This window comes from Homo sapiens, chromosome 4, assembly GCF_000001405.40.
Source record: "Homo sapiens chromosome 4, GRCh38.p14 Primary Assembly".
NCBI lineage: Eukaryota > Metazoa > Chordata > Mammalia > Primates > Hominidae > Homo > Homo sapiens.
In genome coordinates, this window is record NC_000004.12 from 8,816,920 (window position 1) to 8,836,036 (window position 19,117).

General features: G+C 48.4%; 1 annotated feature.

The window, feature by feature from the left end:
- Nucleotides 497–1,283: an enhancer, noted in NCBI's record as "H3K4me1 hESC enhancer chr4:8819142-8819928 (GRCh37/hg19 assembly coordinates)". NCBI's record gives its function as "activates a minimal SCP1, AML or CMV promoter by ChIP-STARR-seq in naive H9 embryonic stem cells {active_cell/tissue: H9 hESC(naive)}" and the evidence as "EXISTENCE:reporter gene assay evidence [ECO:0000049][PMID:30033119]".

The window sequence follows — 19,117 nt, forward strand, 5'->3', positions numbered from 1 at the left end:
TTCTCTCTTGAACCAGCCCTACCCAACAGGCTGCTGGAGCAGGCTTACACTGGCTTGCGAGAGTAGTTGTTAAATTGTCAGGAAATTTCCCAACCAGTTGGTAAACTGTCATGCTCTGCCACAGTGGGATACACTTCAGAAATCAGCAAATACTAGAAATCAGCTTTCTCTCCCAGAGAACCAGTTGTTAAACATTTGCCAGCGTGCCAGTGTGGCCCCTCCACTGAGTCTGCTCTTATCAAGATCATGTCAAGGTCGCTGGAGAGCTCCAGGCTTGGAAGTTCTTCCACCAGGTCTGCCCCGAGGCTCCAGCTTGCTGTTCCCCAGGCTCAGAAGCTCTTCCACCCAGGTCTGCCTGGAGGCTCCGCCTTGCTGTTCCCCAGGCTCAGAAGCTCTTCCACCCAGGTCTACCTGGAGGCTCCGCCTTGCTGTTCCCAGGCTCAGAAGTTCTTCCAGCAGGTCTGCCCCGAGGCTCCGGCTTGCAGTTCCCAGGCTCAGAAGCTTTTCCACCAGGTCTGCCCAGAGGCTCCGGCTTGCAGTTCCCAGGCTCAGAAGCTCTTCCACCAGGTCTGCCCAGAGGCTCTGGCTTGCTGTTCCCCAGGCTCAGAAGCTCTTCCACCCAGGTCTGCCCAGAGGCTCCAGCTTGCAGTTCCCAGGCTCAGAAGCTCTTCCACCCAGGTCTGCCCGGAGGCTCCGGCTTGCTGTTCCCTGGACTCAGAAGCTCTTCTACCGGGTCTTCCCCAGGCTAGCTCTGCTTGTTGTCAACTTGGTCTCTGCTTAGGACTGTCCCTGTCCCCGTGTCCAGCACAGGACTGGATGCACAGTAGGAGCACAGATTGCTGGTGAGGATGGAATGACAGCCCTACGGTGTGGACCAGCTGCCCCTTGACACAAAACTGCATGGACTTCTGGGCTGCAGAGTTGCTGGGCAGTCGATGCTTGGGGAGCAATGCCCATGGCAGGAAGCCAACTCGGCAGGAAGGCAAGGAGGCCCTGCTGAGCCCCACGCCACCCACACCAGGTGCTGGAGGATTCCACGGCTGTGGGAGCCTCACATTACAGTGCCTGCCCCAGGCCTGTCCCCAGAGACAGCCCCAGGTGCCGAGGCAATCTGTCCTCTTACCCCACCCTTCAAGTCCCTGGAGGCGACATCTTTGAGCTGTCACTCCTGTAACCTGATCAGCAATGGGACAAGGTTCTGGGGCACAAAACAAGAGACATCTTAATTGGTGGCTCTTCCGGAGCAGCCAGAGCCCCAGACATCTCTTAATTTGTCAGGTGGGTCTGAGCCGGAAATGCAGGCTTCTCATGTGGCCATGGGACATGCTGGCAGCTCGCCTGGGTGGCTCTACATGCAGAGGGATGCTGACCTCTCACGTGGGCTTGTGTCTCTGATGCCTCAATTCAGCCTGTGTCTGGTTTAAGACAAGCACCGCCTCCCTTCTCTGCATGCAGAATTGAGCTCTGGTCCCCAGAGGTGGTCACTCCAGCAGGACACTTGTCAGGCTGGGCAGCCTGCAGCACCACACGGGGAGTTTCAGCAGTGTGGTTCCCATGCCTGCCAAAGATCAGAGCCTCCTGGCAGCTTTGGGCAGCACCTATTCCTTGGGCCCTGGCCCAGGTGCTTGGGGAGAGCAACTGGTTCTCAGCTGGTGACTGACTGGGTGAGGTGACCGACACAGCCGTTCCTAACCATTTGTGATGGGCCTGGCAGGGGCATTTCAGCCAGGCCTTAATGCCCAGGTGGGACTCAGGCAGGCAAGCAGAAGGAACAGCCTGGGCAGAGGCCCAGCCACAGGAGCACATGGGCCTCATTCAGGGAGTGGTGACTGCCTGGCAGGGGAGAGCAAGGGTAAGGGTGATAGGAGGAGGGGAGCAGGCAAGCAAGTGACCCAGGTGGCTCGCTGCGGCCCAGAAAGCTTTGGGTGGAGCTTGGGCTCAGCCAAGAAAGTGGATGGCAAGGCAGCCTCCCAGTAAGAAGGTGGAGGATCGGGCAGCATCCCCAGTAAGAAGGTAGAGGGTGGGGCAGCCTCTTGGTAAGAAGGTAGAGGGTGGGGCAGCCTCCCCAGTAAGAAGGTGGAGGGCCAGGCAACATCCCCAATAAGAAGGTGGAGGGTGAGGCAGCCTCCCCAGTTAAGAAGGCGGAGGGTGGAGCAGCCTCCCCAGTAAGAAGGCGGAGGGTGGGGCAGCCTCCCCAGTTAAGAAGGCGGAGGGCGGGGCAGCCCCCCCAGTAAGAAGGCGGAGGGTGGGGCAGCCCCCCCAGTAAGAAGGCGGAGGGTGGGGCAGCCTCCCTTTCAGGGGAACCACCTGTAGCCCAAGAGGGAGAAGGGGCAGGGTCTGCAGCCAGACCCAGCTTTGAGGCTCAGCCTGGGTGCACACTGGCCACGTGAATGTGCCAGTCCTCAGCCTCGCAGAGCCTCTGTTTCCTCCTCAGCAAACTAGAGGCCACTGCTATGTCTCCATTCTTAGAATAGAACATGCAACTCTCATTTAGCCCATGCTCTGGACACACACACGAGCATCAGCACAGTTCAGTCTGAATAATGGCCCGACATGTACATGGCCTGACTTTTTGTTAATGCCTGAAACACCCAGATCAGGAGCATCTGCTGCCCACGCCAGATACACATGCAGCTAAAATGTCTGAACGCACGTTGTAGAATGGGGGTGACCTCAGGGGAAGGGGAAGGGAGTAGGAGACCTCAGCTGAGCTGTAACGTTTCACTTCTTAAAATACAATAAGCCTATGAAGTAAAAACGATAGCAACCACAGTATCATCACAACAAAAGCGCCGAAACTGAAACCGGGCTGAGGTGGAGGTTCCAACAGAGAAGGGGCCTCAGCCCTGGAGGGAGTCCTGGACGTTGCGGAGCCGCCCACTCTGGCCAGCCCCACACTATGCACGGCTCACTCCTTCCCTGCTGGCTGCAGCCTTGTGTCCCAGTGATCCGGTGATCCAGTGAGCCCAGGCAGAGTGCTTCTGAGCTTTGGGACTTCTGCCTCTTGCGAGGCCTGCGGAAGGCCCCTGATCCCGGGGATATGGACAGTGAGTGAGCTCCCGTGAAAATGAGCTCATAGACTCCATGCTCCATGGATGCCCTGCTGGCACCAGCATCCCTGGCTGTTTCCATGGCCAGCAGAGGGCAGGTGAGGGGCTGAGGTTCCTCTTCTTGAGGAGCAGTGGGGAGTGGGGTGGAGTGGAGGAGGTGGGGGGGGTGCAGTCACTGGGGGTCCCGTCCCTGAAAGCTGCGCTCTGGCCAGCAGGCTAGGATAACAAGTGCCAGAGATGAGGGAACTGTATGGAAGGGAGAGGTCCCCATCGCCGGGCACTCGACTGACCCTCGCCTTGGGGAAGCTGTAGAAGAGTCCCTCGTAGGGGGTAGGGGATGGTGAGGAGGGTGGAGGAGTTGGAGCTGCCCCCTTGGACCCTAAAACCTGTTCCCAGAGGGCCTGCCTCTCTCAGGACAACGCCATCTGTGCGCCCCCTTCACCAGCCTGGCTGCACCCGGGGGGGCTCAGTGGGACCTCTCGGGCACACTGAGGTCACGCCCCTTGCCCTGTCCAGATGGGCCTGGGCCGACTCCGTCCGCTGCAGGCGAGGACAATGGCCCCTGTTGTCGTCCAGCCACCCTCGGCCACATTCTCCAGGGACCTAGTGACCCTGAACAGGACGGTGAAGAGGTCCCCGCTGACTCAGCGAGATGTCCACTCGCTAATGAAGGGCCGTTGGAAAGGGCGTTGACCTTGGTCAGCAGGCTGGGCTTTCCATCCAGGGGTCACTGCAAGGACACACAGGAGACAGTGATGCCACGCCCGCCCCACCCCAAACACTTGCCAGCAGCTCAGAGGACAACTGTCTGGCGGTCAGCCTACGCCAAGACCCACCTGTGGGGCAGAGCCAGGACAGGCAGCCCGGTTCAGAGGTTTAAACCAGGGGCCAGCCCTGCTGCCAAGTAAAATGGCAGCAACCACATGGCACCATCCAAGCCCTGACTGAAGGAGGCCCCAGGTTCAATGGAATGGTAGATGGTTCCTAACCCAGCGTGGAGACCAAGGAAGGCTGCCTGGAGGAGGGGATATGGAGCCGGGTCTTGAAGGATGGGTAGCACTGGCCAGAAATCACTGAAGGAGAAGAGGGGGCTAGACAGAAAACAGCACTGGCAGCGATTTTTGGGCAAAGAGGGCAGAGAGATGGAACTCTTTTGCGTAACTCAAGCATGGGCTGCCAAAAGGAGGGAGGCTGGAAGTGAGCAAGGCGGTGGGAGGCGCCGAGGGGATGAGACAAGGAGAAGGGCGTTCAATGTGTTAGAAACACCCCATGTGATCGCAGCGGGCAGGCAAAGGCGTGGCCGGATAATGCCTTAGATTGAGGGAAGTCCAGGGGGGCGCAGGCTCCACAGAGTGCTGAGCAAAGTCACACTGGCTTTGCAGAAACCCCCGGGGAGGCTATTCCACCTTGAGCAAAGGCCTGGAGGCCAGAAAGTGCGGCCCATGTTGGGGTGGTGACAGGCCACTTGACGGAGAGCAGGAAGCATGAAGGCCGGGGAGGACCTCAGAGGGAAGGCTGGATGGGGTGGACCGAAATGATGTGGGCTGGAGAAGGCACTTCCGACGGGGGCTCAGCTTCAGCTAAGCGAGGGAGGCTGGAGGGGCGCAATGAGGGTCTGGGGTTGCAGATGTGAGAATGTGTGGCAGCAGACATGGCACCGTAACTGCTGGCCTGTATCAGGACCAGGGCCCAGTGCTCATGGCAGGCAGAACCCACACACCCTCCCATGCTGTTCCATGGTGTTCAACACTGTTCCATTTGGCACCATCAAGGTGCCCCACAGCAACAGAAGGAAGGAGCTGTGCTCCTCCACAGGGACTCACCACCAGGCAGCTGTGGAACTCAGGCTCATGACTCTCCCTCTCTAACCTGAATCCCTCTCCTATAAAATGGGGCTATTATCTGCCCTGCCGCCCTCCCAGGATTGTTTGGACCCACTTATAAGGGTATAAAAAAGCACCCCGTGCTGCCCAGCACTGAACATGGTGAAAAGCAGTCTCCACGATGACACGATGATATGACGGCACTTCTGCAGGAGAGTCTGAGCTCTCTTTCAAACACAGGAAATCCACTTACAAAACTTGACGACCTACAGGTCAAAAATTAAACCTCAACAAATTTCAAAGAATGATTTTCATATGCAGTATATTGTCTGACCACAATGTGATTCATTTAGAAGGTAACATAAAAAAAGATTAAAGATAACATAAAAAGATTATATAGGTTTAGAAGACTGACACATGATCCTAAATAACCTGTGGGTTAAAGAGAAGATTGCAATGGAAATTACAAATGATTTAGTCCTGAATGTAAAAAAAAGGGTGGGAGGCATTATATAGCAGTTTTCTTGGTTGTAGCAAATTAGTTTTTAGAGGTATATTTGTAAACTATGCATTTATTATAAAAATAAGAAAACTTACAAATACATAAGGTACAATCTTAACTAAAAATAGAAAACTGACAATAATTCTAAAGAACATAGAAGAAAAGAAGTAAAGATATGAGAAGAAATGGATTAAATAGAAAATGAAGAAAAATAGAAATTATCAACAAAAGCAAAATTCTGCCCTCAGAGAAAATAAAATAGAAAAATTTCTAGTAAGACTAATCAAGAAAAAAGTGCTATCAACAAATCACATTAGGAATGAAGAAGGAAGCAGAAGAGATTTAGAAGAATTGTTAAAGGATACTGCAATCAACTTTATGCCAATATATTTTAAATTTCAGTGTAATGAACATTTTTCCTGAAGAAAAATTAATTACCAAAATTAACTCAAGTTGAAATAGAAGACACAAACAAAGCAATAACCAGTGAAAAAATAGTATTGATTAGCAAACATTTATATACCCAAAGAAAACAAACAAAAGTCACCAAGCCCAGGTAGTATTACAGCAAGAGCCACCAAATCTTCAAGAGACAAATGATCCCTAATATATGCACACTATTGCAGAGAATAAGGGAAAAAAATGGGAAACTTATCAATTTACTTTAAGAGAATAGTATAAGCTAATGACTAAAGTTACATGACCGTTTACGAAAAGAAAATATCACGCCAATTTCAATTCTAAACATAGATTTTGAAAATCTTAGGGGAAAGTCTGGCAAATCAAATCTTGCTGCATATTAAAATAATGACAGCTCATTTTAGTTTACCTCCGAAAGTCAAGGAGAGTACTCATTTCAAAAATTTAGGAATAGGCCGGACGCAGTGGCTTACGCCTGTAATCCCAGCACTTTGGGAGGCCAAGGTGGGTGGATCACTTGAGACCCAGAGTTAGAGACCAGCCTGGCCAATATGGTGAAACCCCGTCTCTACTAAAAAAATACAAAAATTAAGCTGGGCGCGGTGGCTCACGCCTGTAATCCCAGCACTTTGGGAGGCTGAGGTGGGTGGTTCATGAGGTCAGGAGTTCAAGACCAACCTGGCCAAGATGGTGAAACCCTGTCTCTACTAAAAATACAAAAAAATTAGCCAGGTATGGTAGTGGGCACCTGTAATCTCAGCTACTCAGGAGGCTGAGGCAGAGAATTGCTTGAACCCAAGAGGCAGAGGTTGCAGTGAGCCGAGATCATGTCACTGCACTCCAGCCAGGGCTATGGGCTATACAGCGAGAGCCTGTCTCAAAAAAAAAAAAAAAAAAAAAAAAAAATTAGCCTGGTGTGGTGGCATACACGTGTCGTCCCAGGACACAGAAGGCTGAGGAATAAGAATCGTTTGAACCCAGAAGACGAAGATTGCAGTGAGCAGAGATGGCACCCCTGCATTCCAGCATGGGTGATAGAGCAAGGCTCCATCTAAAAAAAAAAAATTAGGAATAAACAATGACATATTAAGAGAGGAGAGGATGAGAGACTCCAATTTTATCATCTTAATAGAAACTAAAAAAGCATTCAGTAGAATTCAGCATTTATTCAAGATTGAGTTTTTCAAATTCTTAGCAAACTATGAATAGCATGAAGTTTTCTTATTTGGATACATTTAGACAAGGTAGAAAGATGCTAAGCTGCTGAACAAAGGGACACCAAAACAGAGTGGCTGGGATGGGAGTGGAGTTTGTGAACAAAGGGACACCAAAGCCAGGTGGCTGGGATGGGAGAGAAGTTTGTGTCTGTGACATGTAACAGTGCAGGGGAGGTGGGAGACAGAGGCACTGGAGACACAGGTGCCTCCTATTGTGATGTTTTACACGTTCTAGAATGTTGTCCTCATCCACAGAGTCAAAGTACATTCACTATTGTCATTTCCACAGAAAGACAAAGAGGAAACGTGATATATAATTTGCACACATCACTTCTCCCATGCCTATTAATGAGAACCTGGTCATGTGGACACACCAGGCTGTAAGGGAAGTGGAAATGTACTTTTCACCTAGGTAGACACATGTTCGTCTACAATCCAAAGGAGATCTATTACTAAAATAAAAAAAAAATAAGGGAGAAGGGGTAAGAAGGGTCTGTTTGCAGGCTCTGCTACAGCTGATAAAAAGTGTCTATCTAAAACACAGAGTAAACATTATACTTAATTATTAAAGTTTAAAAGTATTCCCACTGAAGTCAGGATCAAGACAAGGATGGATTCCTCATCACTATGTTCAACATTGTACTTGTAGATTTAGACAAGGAAAAATTCAAAGATGCAGACATTGAAAAATACTATGATTGTCCACACAGGAAATCTAAAATAATCTATGGACAAACTGGTATAAGTAGTATAAATATAATACAGGTATAACTAATAACTAGTAAGTTTGCTGGATACAAAAGCAAGAGAATTTATATATGCCACTAATCATCAATAATAAAATAGAGAAAAGATTCCCAATCATAAAGGCAACCAAGACTTTAATATTTTGAACTGTGTGATATGTTTACTGGGAAAAATTATGAAATATACCATATTCATGGATAGGCAGACTCAGTATCAGAAACACATTAATTTTTCCTAAATTAGCCTTTAGAGTCAATGTACTCTCAATTTTTGAATCAAAAATTCTAACAAAGTTTTCCTCATAGGACATGGAAAGCTAATATAAAAGAATAATGGAAGAAAAAATGACTAGAATAACGCACATTTTTAGAACATAAAAATATAAAGGATTACTTTAAAATTAATTTGGGAAGACTTCAGAAAAAGGAAAGTTATAAGGAATAAAGAGGGTCATTACATAATGATAAAAAATTCAATTCACCAAGAAGACATAACCATCCTTAATATTTATGCACCCAATAAGAAAGCATCAAACTACATTGAGGCAATAACTGATAGATCTGCCCGGTGAAACAGATAAGTCTGCTATCATAGTTGGAGACCTTAACACACCTCTGTCAGAAATGGATAGATCCAGCAAGCAGAAAATCAGTAAGGACAAAGTTGAACTCAACAGCGCTATCAATCAACTGGATATGATTAACACTTATAGACTACCTCATCCAACAGCAAATTACACATTCTTCTCAAGCTCTCATGGAATAACTACCGAGACAGACCACATTCTGGGGCATCAAACACACCTTAACAAACTGAAAGCATAGAAATCTCACAATATCTGCTCTCAGACCACAATGAAATTAAATCAGAAATCAATAACAAAAAGATGCCTAGAAAATTTTAAATTACTTAAAGATTAAACAAAACACTTCTAAATAACATATGGGTCAAAGAATAAATCTCAAGAGAAATTTAAAAATATTTCCAACTAAATGAAAATGAAATACAACTTATAAAAATTTGTTGGATGAAAGAAAAGCAGTGCTCAGAGGGAAATTTATAGCTTTGAATCCATATATTAGAAAATAACAAAGATCTAAAGTCAATAATCTAAGCTTCTACCTTATGAAACTGAAAAAGAAGAGCAAATTAATTCCAAAATAGGAAGAAATAATAAAAATTGGAGCAGAAATCAATGAAACCAGAAGTTTGTTCTTTGAAATATCAACAGATCAATAAGCCTCTAGCCAGGCTAAGAAAAAAAGAGGACAACAATAGCTAATACCAGAAATGAAAGACAGGATATCACTACAGATCTCATGGACATGAAAAGGATGATACAGAAATACAATGAACAACTGTATGCTCACAAATTTGATAATCTAGATGAAATGGGCCAATTCCTTGAAAGACACAACCTGCCAAAGCTCATGCAAGAACAAATAGGCAATTTGAACAGGCTTGTATCTATTAAATAAATTGAATTAATACTTAATAACTTTCCAAAAGAGAAAGTCCAGATGGGTTCATTAGTAAATTTTACCAAACATTTAAGAAATAAATTATACTAATTCTTCACAATCTCTGTTAGAAGACAAAAGCAAGGAAAACACTCCCCATCTCATTCTTTGAAGCCAGCATTTCCCTAATACCAAAACCAGACAAAAACATTACAAGAGGCTGGGCACAGTGGCTCATGCTTGTAATCCTAGCACTTTGGGGGGTTGAGGCAGCTGGATTGCTTGAGCCCAGGAGTTCAAGAACAGCTTGGGCAACGCAGTGAGACCCTGTCATGGTGGCATGAGCCTGTAGTCCCAGCTACTCGGGAGGCTGAGATGAGAGGATCACTTGAGCCTGGGAGGCAGAGGTTGCAGTGAGTGCTACTGTACTCCAGCCTGGGCAATAAGGCAAGACTCTGTCTCAAAACAAAATAAAACAAAAAACAATGACATTACAAGAAAAGAAAACTACAGAACAATATGTGTCACAAACATAAACGCAAAAGTTAACAAAATATTAGCAAATAGAAATCAACAATGTATAAAAGAGAATTATACACCACAGGATTTATCCCAGGTATTCGAGGCTGGTTCATATAATACATTACATCAATAGGCTAAAGAAGAAAAATCACATGATTATATCAATAGACACAGAAAAAGCATTTGACAAACTCCAACATGCATTAATGATAAAAATTCTCAGTAAACTAGGAATAGAGAGGAACTTTCTCAACTTGATAAAGAATGTCTACAAAAATCTTATAATTAACATTGTACTTCATGGTGAGAAATTCAAAACTTTCCCACTAAGATCAGGAACAAGGCAAGAACGTCCTCTCTCACCACTGCTTTTCGACATCATACCAGAAGTCCTGGCTAATGCAGTAAGACAAGAAGAGGAAATAAAACATATACAGAGTGGGAAGGAAGCAATAAAACTGTCTTTGTTCACAGTTGACATCATTGTTCATGTAAAAAAAATCCAAAAGAATTTACAAAAAATACTCCTAGAACTAATAAGTAATTATAGCAAGATTGTGGGATACAAGGTTCTTATACAAAATTCAGTCACTTTCCTACACGGCAGCAGTGAACAAGTGGAATTCAAAATTTAAAACATGATAAACACAATACCATTCACATTAGCACCCCCTCAAAATGAAATGCTTAAATATACATTTAACAAGATATGTATAAGATCTATAAAAAGAAAACTACAAAACTCTCATCAAAAAAATCAAAGAAAAACTAAATAAATTAAGATATATTCCACATTCAGGGATAAAAAGACTTAATATTATCAAGATGCCCATTCTTCCTCACTTGATCTATAGACTCAATGCAATCCCAATCAAAATTCCAGCAAGCTATTTTATGAGTATCAACAAACTAATTCTAAAGTTTATATGAAGAGGCAGAAAACTCAGAATAGCCAACACAATATTGAAGAACAAAGTTAGAAGATCAACACTACTTGACTTCAAGACTTACCATAAAGAAAACTATAGTGTGGTATTGGCAAAAGACAAGACAAATAGATCAACATAACAAAATAAAGGGCCATGAAATAGACCCATATAGTCAATTGATTTTTGACAAAGAAGGATTGGCAATAGAATGGGGTAAAGATAGTCTTCTCAACAAACGGTACCAGAATGACTGAATACCCACATGCAAAAAGAAAAAGAAATGAACCTAGACACAGATCTTATACAGTTCACAAAAATGTAACTCAAAATGAATCATAGACCTAAATATAATATTCAAGACTATAAAACCCTAAAATATAACATAGGGGAAAATCTAAACAATCTTGAGTTTGTTAATGACTTTTTAGATACAATACCAAAGGCAGGATCCAGGAAAGAATCGATAAGCTGGGCTTCATTAAAATTAAAATATTTCTGCTCTATGAAGCCACTGTCAAGAGAAGGAAAAGGCAAGCCATAGACTGGGAGAAAATATTTACAAAAGACATACATGATAAAGGACTATTATCCAAAATGTACAAAGAACTCTAAAAAACTTAACAATAAGAAAACAAACCCAACTAAAAACTGGGCCAAAGATCTTAACAGATATATTACCAAAGAAGATACACAGATGGCAAATAAGCATAAAAAGATTAACCACATCATACGTCATTAAGAAATTGCAAATTAAAACAACAATGAGACACCATTATACACCTAGTAGAATGACCCAAATCCAGATTACTGACATAATCAAATGCTGACAAGGATGTGGAGAAACAGGAACTGCCATTCTTGGGTTGTGGGAATGCCAAATGGTATGCCTGCTTTGGAAGACAGCTTGGTGGTTTCTTACAACACTAAGCATACTCTTACCAAAAGATCGAGCAGTTGTTCTCTTTGTTATTTATTTACCCAAGGGAGTTGAAAACTTATATCCATACGAAAACCTACTTATAAACATTTAGAGCAGCATTACTCATAATTGCCAAAAACTGGGAAAAAAAAAAAAAACAACAAGATATCCTTCAGTAACTGATTGGATAAATACATTGTAGAACTCCTAGGCAACGAAATGTTATTCAGCACTAAAGAGATATGAGCTATCAAGCCATGAACAGACATGGAAGAAACTTAAATGTGCATTACTAAGTGAAAGAAGCCCAACTGAAAAAAAAAGTACATATTATATGACTCCAACCATGTGGCATTCTGAAAAAGGCAAAACTATGGAGAGGAAAAAAAATCAGTGGCTTCCAGGGATTCGGGGAGAGAGAAAGATGAGCAGGTGAAGTGCAGGGGAGCTTAAGGTGGTGACACTATGCTGTATGACAGTAAAATGGAGATACCTGTCCTTGTACCTTCATGTAAACCCATAGAACCCACAACACCCATAGCGAACTCTCCTGCGAACTCTGCACTTTGAGTGCTAATGGTGTGCCTGTGGAGACTCACCAGTTGTGAGGAGTGTCCCACCCTGGTAGGGATGTTGGTACAGAGGAGGGCTATGCATGTGTCAGAACAGGGGGGAAATGGGAAATCCCTGAACATATCTTCTGCTCAATTGTACTGTGAACCTAAAACTGTTCTTAAAAATAAAGCCTACGAATTTAAAATTACAGTCATTAGGAAAGTATGTGAGTGGGTCATGAAGAGACAGAAAGACAAAGGGAGCCAACCAGGAAACACGGAAACAACATGTAGGAGTGTGGGAATTCCACTTTCGATGGAAACAGCAACACAAATCGGCACCAAGAGGACAGATCAGCCCTTCGTGGCGCTGGGACAGTGGGTTTTCCACAAGGAAAAAGAGAAAGTTAAATCCCTACCTCCCTGTACAGAAAAATCAATTCCAGATGGATTAAAGACATAAATGTGAAAAGAACTACAAAACTTTTAGGAAAAAATATAGAATAATATTTTTATGACCCCAGAGTAGGAAGGAATTTCTAAACACAATGCCAAAAAATGCACACTGTGAAGGGAAATATTGGTCCCGAGACTTCATGAAGATCTATGCCATCTCTTTAGGCCTCGGCTTGCAGTGGCCACACTGTGACTAATGCCATGTTCTATTGACCAAAGCAAGTCATGGGTCTCTGAGGCACAGGGCTGGGCACCAACACCACCCTGAAGACTTATCTGGCTAAACTGCAGCTACAGAGAAGGGTGGAGGACTTGGGCCACTTTTGCCACCAATCTTCCATGCCCCAGCCTGGTAATCAGGGAAGACCATAGAGAGGAGCCCTATTTGAGCAAGGTGATGGAGAAAGTACAGAAGTCTGGGGGGAAATTAGGAAAAAAGAATAACTCAGTGAGGTGTGACCCAAGGAGGGGAGTCTGGGCGTCCCCACTGAAGCAGAAAGAGATTCATCACAACTCCTTCCAAAGTGACTGATGTTGAAAACCATTTAAAATGCATGTGTGTGGTCCAGGAGGGCCAGTAAGTGTCTGCCTGTCTCCCTCCCACTCTGGTCCCCGAGAACCTGGCACGTGGGGCACAGGGAGGAGTTTGAGAAGGGGACAGAGAGCCGGTGCCAGCTGGCACCCAGGCTGGCCAGAAGAACACCAGTGGGCATGGGAGGGAAACCCAAGCTTGGTAGCCATGGTCAAGAGGAGCCCGCAGGGAGCCACCTGTCTCCTTTGACCAGTTGGTCTGCAGAGATGAGCTTCCTAGAATTAAACACAAGTGGGGATTTATCTCCGGAGCTTTGAGGATGGAGCATTCATTAATCATTCCCTGCAGTGGCTCTGCTGGGCACCGGCGCACATCTGGCCCAGATTCAGATCTGACTTTCCTGCAGAGCCCTCCCTGGACTCAGGGGAGATGTGGGAGGTATGCAGGGGTGTCAGGGGCACTCTGGGGTGCAAAGTCTTTGGTCCCAAATGTCCAAAGGTCTTTTTGGAGTCAGCCAAGGAGCTGATATGCTGCAGAGGGCCAGGCTGGCCCCAGAGCAGCAGGCATTCTCATCTTCAAAGACTCTGCCAGGGTCTTGGAGGTTAATCTGGGGGGACTGCAGTGTTTTTGATGATGACGTTTTCTTGTCCCTGCAGCTTCCACACCAAATCTGTCTGAACCCCCAGACCAGGGACTAGGAAGTCAGCCTCGATGCCCGCCGAGGTTCCCCTACCCCCATCCAACGTCCCACCAGGCACCAAGCCCTCCAGAACTACCTTTCCCGTCTGTCCGCTCCCCCAGGTCTACTGCCACTGCCTGGCAGGACTAACACCCCAGCCTACCTGGATCCTCAAGGACCTCTTGGTGGTCACCTTTCCCAGACTCACCCCCCGGTTCTCCCTCTCCCGCTGACGGAGAGCTTACCAACAGGGCATGATCAGCTCCTTCCCTGCAAACAAAATCCCACAGGTTCACCATTGCCCCTGGACAAAGTTTTCTTCTGAACCAGAAAGTCAAGGCCCTTGTAGACTCCTGACCACATCCTCTGCCACAGGGGGGCCTGAGGCTGAGCCCCCGAGGTCCCTGAGGGCCACACCAGCTACTCCTTCCTGTTCCTCTGTTTTCACTGCCCCCAGGGCCCTGTGCATCTAGCAATTTTCGCTTTAAACTTTATGAATCTCTGAAGTGACACCACCTCCAGGAAGCCTTCCTAGAGGCACCAAGCACAGTTGACATCCTGCCTTTGTGCTGTAACTGGCAACAAGACAACCTCTGATTGAGGATGAACAGCTCCCCTGAGCCATGTGCTCTCTGACAGCAGGACGGTGTCCAATCCGTTTCCATGGCCCCAGGTGGGGATGGACTAAAGGCTTATTCTAAGAGGACCCAGCGAAAGCTGGTGAAACAGAGATCAACCCAGAGCCTGGTTTAGCTCTGACAACCTCCACACAGGCCCAGTGGCCTTGGCCACTGAACAGAGAAGGCCAGGCATGGTGACTGCTCTCTCTGGAGCCCACAGAGATTTGCAGCTCAGGAAGCCGCTCCGGCCTCTGGCCTGACAGATCTGGACCGAGGCTGCTGAGGGCTGGATGGAGCTCAGCTCCCAGGGTGTAGAGGGTGGACAAACTGGCAGGGCCTTGGTGTCCCCTGGGCAAATTTCCTCACATCACAGGAGAGGAGGCACCAAGCTACACCGCAGGGGCATCCCTTGCTGGGCCCAGAACTTTCCTCTGCCTCCAGAGTAAATTCAGAGTCACCTGGGAAAGGGACCCCACCTGCCACCTTAAAATCACCCCCTTTTCCTGTCTCTGCCTGCCCCTCCCCATGAGCTTGAGCCCCTGAGAACTGAGGCTTAGGGTAGAACAGCGACCAACCCCATCACAAGCCTGATGGGCTCACCGGAGCGGGGGCTGGGGGCCGGGAGGATGAGGATCTGGGGCAAGAGAAAGGGTGCAGGAAGGGAAAACGGGGAAGCAAAGACCCACGGGCCTGGGTTGGAGGGAGGCTGTCACAGAGAAGGAGGGACTCCCCCCAGCTCTGCCCAACCCTCCTGCACCCAGGCCTGCATCCAGTGGGAGTGGCCTTTTTAGAGGTCCTTTCCTCCTCCTGTCACCCCTGCATGGCAGGTGGGGACACACCACCCACCCATCTGGCAGGCCAGGCACAGGCCAGGTGAGGCTTACACACCCCAGGGTCCCAGAGCAGAACAGGAGACCCCATCTACCCTGTCTCTGCCCCTCAGTTTCAGCGTCTGTGGAATGGAACTCCGGCTGCCCGTCTTGCAGAGAGTTTGAAGGATGATGCCGCCGCACTGCCTTGGGTGTTTGGAGGCCAGGACTCTCCCACACAGTAACCCTGACCATGACGCCACGAATGCCCTGCCCCTGGCCCCCTGCTAATTGAATTTTTCCAGAGGCCTTGTAGTGTTCTTTGAGCACTGCCCACTAAGCCACAGGTGAGGAGCTGTGATGTTTCAGCCACACATTCCTGGCACCCCCTAGCCGGGGCATGAGCATGCTCCTTACGGCTCAGTCTTGTCTGGGGCTCCATTAAACCAAGCTTACAATTAAGGAAATGTGATAGGAAAATTAGCTGATGTGTGAAACCGGAGCCTCGGTACAGTTACAAAAGACAGTGTCTTCCAAGCCCTGATTAGCCACTCAGCCTGACGTGAGGTTAAGTAAAGAACGCCAGATTAATCCAGATGGACAATTATGACGCGTTCTTCTCCGGCGTCGAGCCTGTTGCTAAATTTCTCATGTGGCTCCCTGCCAGGAAGGTATTGTGTTCTGAGACTTTTCTACCATTTCTGCTTAAAAAGTTCCAAATGTTCAGCCATATGATGTGAAACTTAACTTCAAGAAAATCCTAGGGGGGGTGTTGATGGTGGGGAAGATGTGGGGGTCTGATCCGCTGACCCCACGCCAGGGGAGGATACAGTTTCAAGCCTTTCTTCTGGCCCCACTCCTCTCGCCTAGCCCTAAGGAGCCCTAAGCGAGCCGGGTCCTCCAGGAAGACGGGAGCGCCCCTGGTGAAGGCAGAATCCACCAAGGCCTCTGTCCTGCAAACCCCTTCCCAGTGTATGGGTTTTCAAGGGCCGTGCAACAAAGTCTGGAAGCCCGGGGACCTGGGTTCCAAGCCCCGCCTCTGTCAGCCTCGGTGTCCTGGGTTTCCACAGCTCAAATTAAATTCCATCAATAATCCTGCAGGTTACTCTTCTAGAAGCACAGTTACCTCATTTAAACCTCACAAAAACCCCAGGTGGGAAAGCTCTTACCTCCACCTTACAGATGGGTACACTGAGGCCCAGAGGGCTTAATGACTTGATGAGACAAGCGAGTGGTGGAGGCCAAATTCCAGCCCATGTGATGTGAATCTCACGGTTTGATTGACCAGGTGTCTGCAAGTGTCAGCTTGGTGTGAGGGGCTGCCCCAGACCCCTCTAGCTGGGACGGGTGACTTTCTGTAATGAGCGTGTTGGCTCCTTCATCTGAGTTCTATACAGGGGAGGAGAGAAGGGGAATGGCCTCAATGCCTTGGTCCTTGAGGCTCTGCCTCTCGTAGCCCCTCTAGGATGGTGCAGTCACCTCTGCACCTCAAGTCCCAGGCCCAGCACCAGGCATGGAGAAGCTCAAGGCACAGCCGTCAAGCTGTCTAAAATTAATCACATGGGGCCATGGCAAGTGAGCTATAAATATGTGCATAGTGCATTGTTGGGTTTTATTTATTTATTTATTTATTTTGAGACGGAGTCTGGCTCTGTCGCCCAGGCTGGAGTGCAGTGGCGCAATCTCAGCTCACTGCAAGCTCCGCCTCCCGGGTTCACGCCATTCTCCTGACTCAGCCTCCGGAGTAGCTGGGACTACAGGCGCCCGCCACTACGTCGGGCTAATTTTTTTTTGTATTTTTTTTAGTAGAGACGGGGTTCCACCGTGTTAGCCAGGGTGGTCTTGATCTCCGGACCTCGTGATCCACCCGCCTCGGCCTCCCAAAGTGCTGGGATTACAGGCGTGAGCCACCGCGCCCGGCCGCATTGTTGGGTTTTAAAACCCAAGCAGGGCCCAGCAGTAGGATATCCACTCTGTAGATGATACAGGAATTAGATAAAGACCCAGGAAACTCAGATCGTGAGGCCTCATCAACTACTGCATGCCTAACTTACCAATCGTATCGATAGGGATCAATTACTGTGCCTAACACAAAGCCCAGCCCAGAGGAGGCAAGTGAATGAATGAATGAATGAATGAAGCCCTCCGGAGCCCACAGCCAGGAGTCTGCAGGGGCTGAGGCTGCCTTGTTCACCTTGGGGTCCGCCGTGGCTGGGTGAACAGCCTGGAGCAGGTGCAGAGTGGCTCTGATTTCCTTTGCAATCTGTCCCTGTGGTTTCCTTTTGTGCACTGCACAGGAGGCAGCCTTTGTAATATCAACCAGGCAATAGACGGGGTGACGGGACATGACCATACCATGAGGCCCCCCAGCAGGGACTCCCAGCCCAAGGGTCCCGAGCTCCCAGGACAAGCCAGAGAAGCAGAAGCAGCCCCGGGCAGCGTGTGGTCTTCACTATGTCTCCTGAAGCATCCCATCCCCAGGCACAGTTGCCAACCTACCTCCCCAGGAAAGGGGCACGTCACCTCACCACAGAGGAACACCAGAGCCTCAGGGAGCTTTCAGGATGACATAAAGGAGGAAGTAGGACTTGAACTCCCAGCCCCGGGCCCAGAAGCTCAGATGGGCCGAGGTGTGCAGGTGGCCCCTGGCTGGGCATGAATGCAGTTCCTTTTCCTCAGAGACTCCTCCCACAGGCTTCTGCCCAGGGCACTTCCCAAAGCATGAGCTGCCGGCTAGACACTCACAGGCCCCCCAAGCTTTTCCCCACCCCCATCAGGGCAGTCTCCCCTCTGCTTTTCATACCAGTCTGAGGCCCCGGGGACTCTGTGGACTAGCGGCTCCTTTTCCATCAAGGCTCCAGGCCACCACTCAGCAGATCATTCAGGCTGCAGCCAGGCTCTCCCCTTCAACGTCGCTCTCACTAATTCAGACCAGGCCCGAGCTGCTGAACTCTACCTAGGGTGCCTCAAGGAGCCACAGATGCAATGCATCAAATGAGGAGCACGTTTCCAGCGCTCAGCCCCTCATAGACACGTGGAATTCTAGACTCTCTGGGGTGGGAAAGATCTTAAAAGGCATCCTATCCAGCCACCCCCATCCACCACCACTGCTGCCATCCAGGGCCAGGAGGTCCCCACATGACCAGGAAAAGTGAACACAACATCCAGCCTCTTACACACCTCCAGGGACGGAGAGCTCACTACTTCACTGAATGGCCTGCTCTTTCTACCATCGGCTACATCCTTCCTGAAATGCATGTGAAACAGGTGCTTCCCCTTGGAGTCCCCAGCGCTGACCTCAGGACTGTGCAGGGCACTTGAGCCCCTCTTCCCAGAGACAGTGTTCTCAGGGTCTGATCCCCTCTCTTTCAGGTGTCACAGCCCAGTCTCTGCCGTGACCTCACACTGTGTCCTGGGACCACCTCAGGCACTATCTAATTACCCTTAATTTCTGAGCAACTTCAAGGTACCCAGAAGAGTCGGTGAACTGCCCCTCAGTGGGGACAATAGCCCCATGCACTTCTGAACCTGACCCAACTGCATCCACAGCTGTGGTGCGGCTCTTCGTACTGGCCCTTCTGGGACTAGATGCCACACCCTTGGGGGGCTCACTGAAGCCTCATAATGAACCTAATAGGCAAGCGCTGTTATTCCCATCATACAGGTGAGGAAAGGCTCAGAAAAGTCAAGTGATTCACCCAAGGCCACACAGCCGTCTGTGATAGACCCAGGTCTGCCAACTCCTCTGAACCAAAGCCTGAATGGGCTGCTGCTGCCATGCTCAGGAGACAGGCCATCCCCAGTGCAGCAGCTGCTGTGACCCCAACTGCCCACAGGCTGGAGCTGCACCCTTCAGCCTGGGGCCTGTGTGGCCTGGG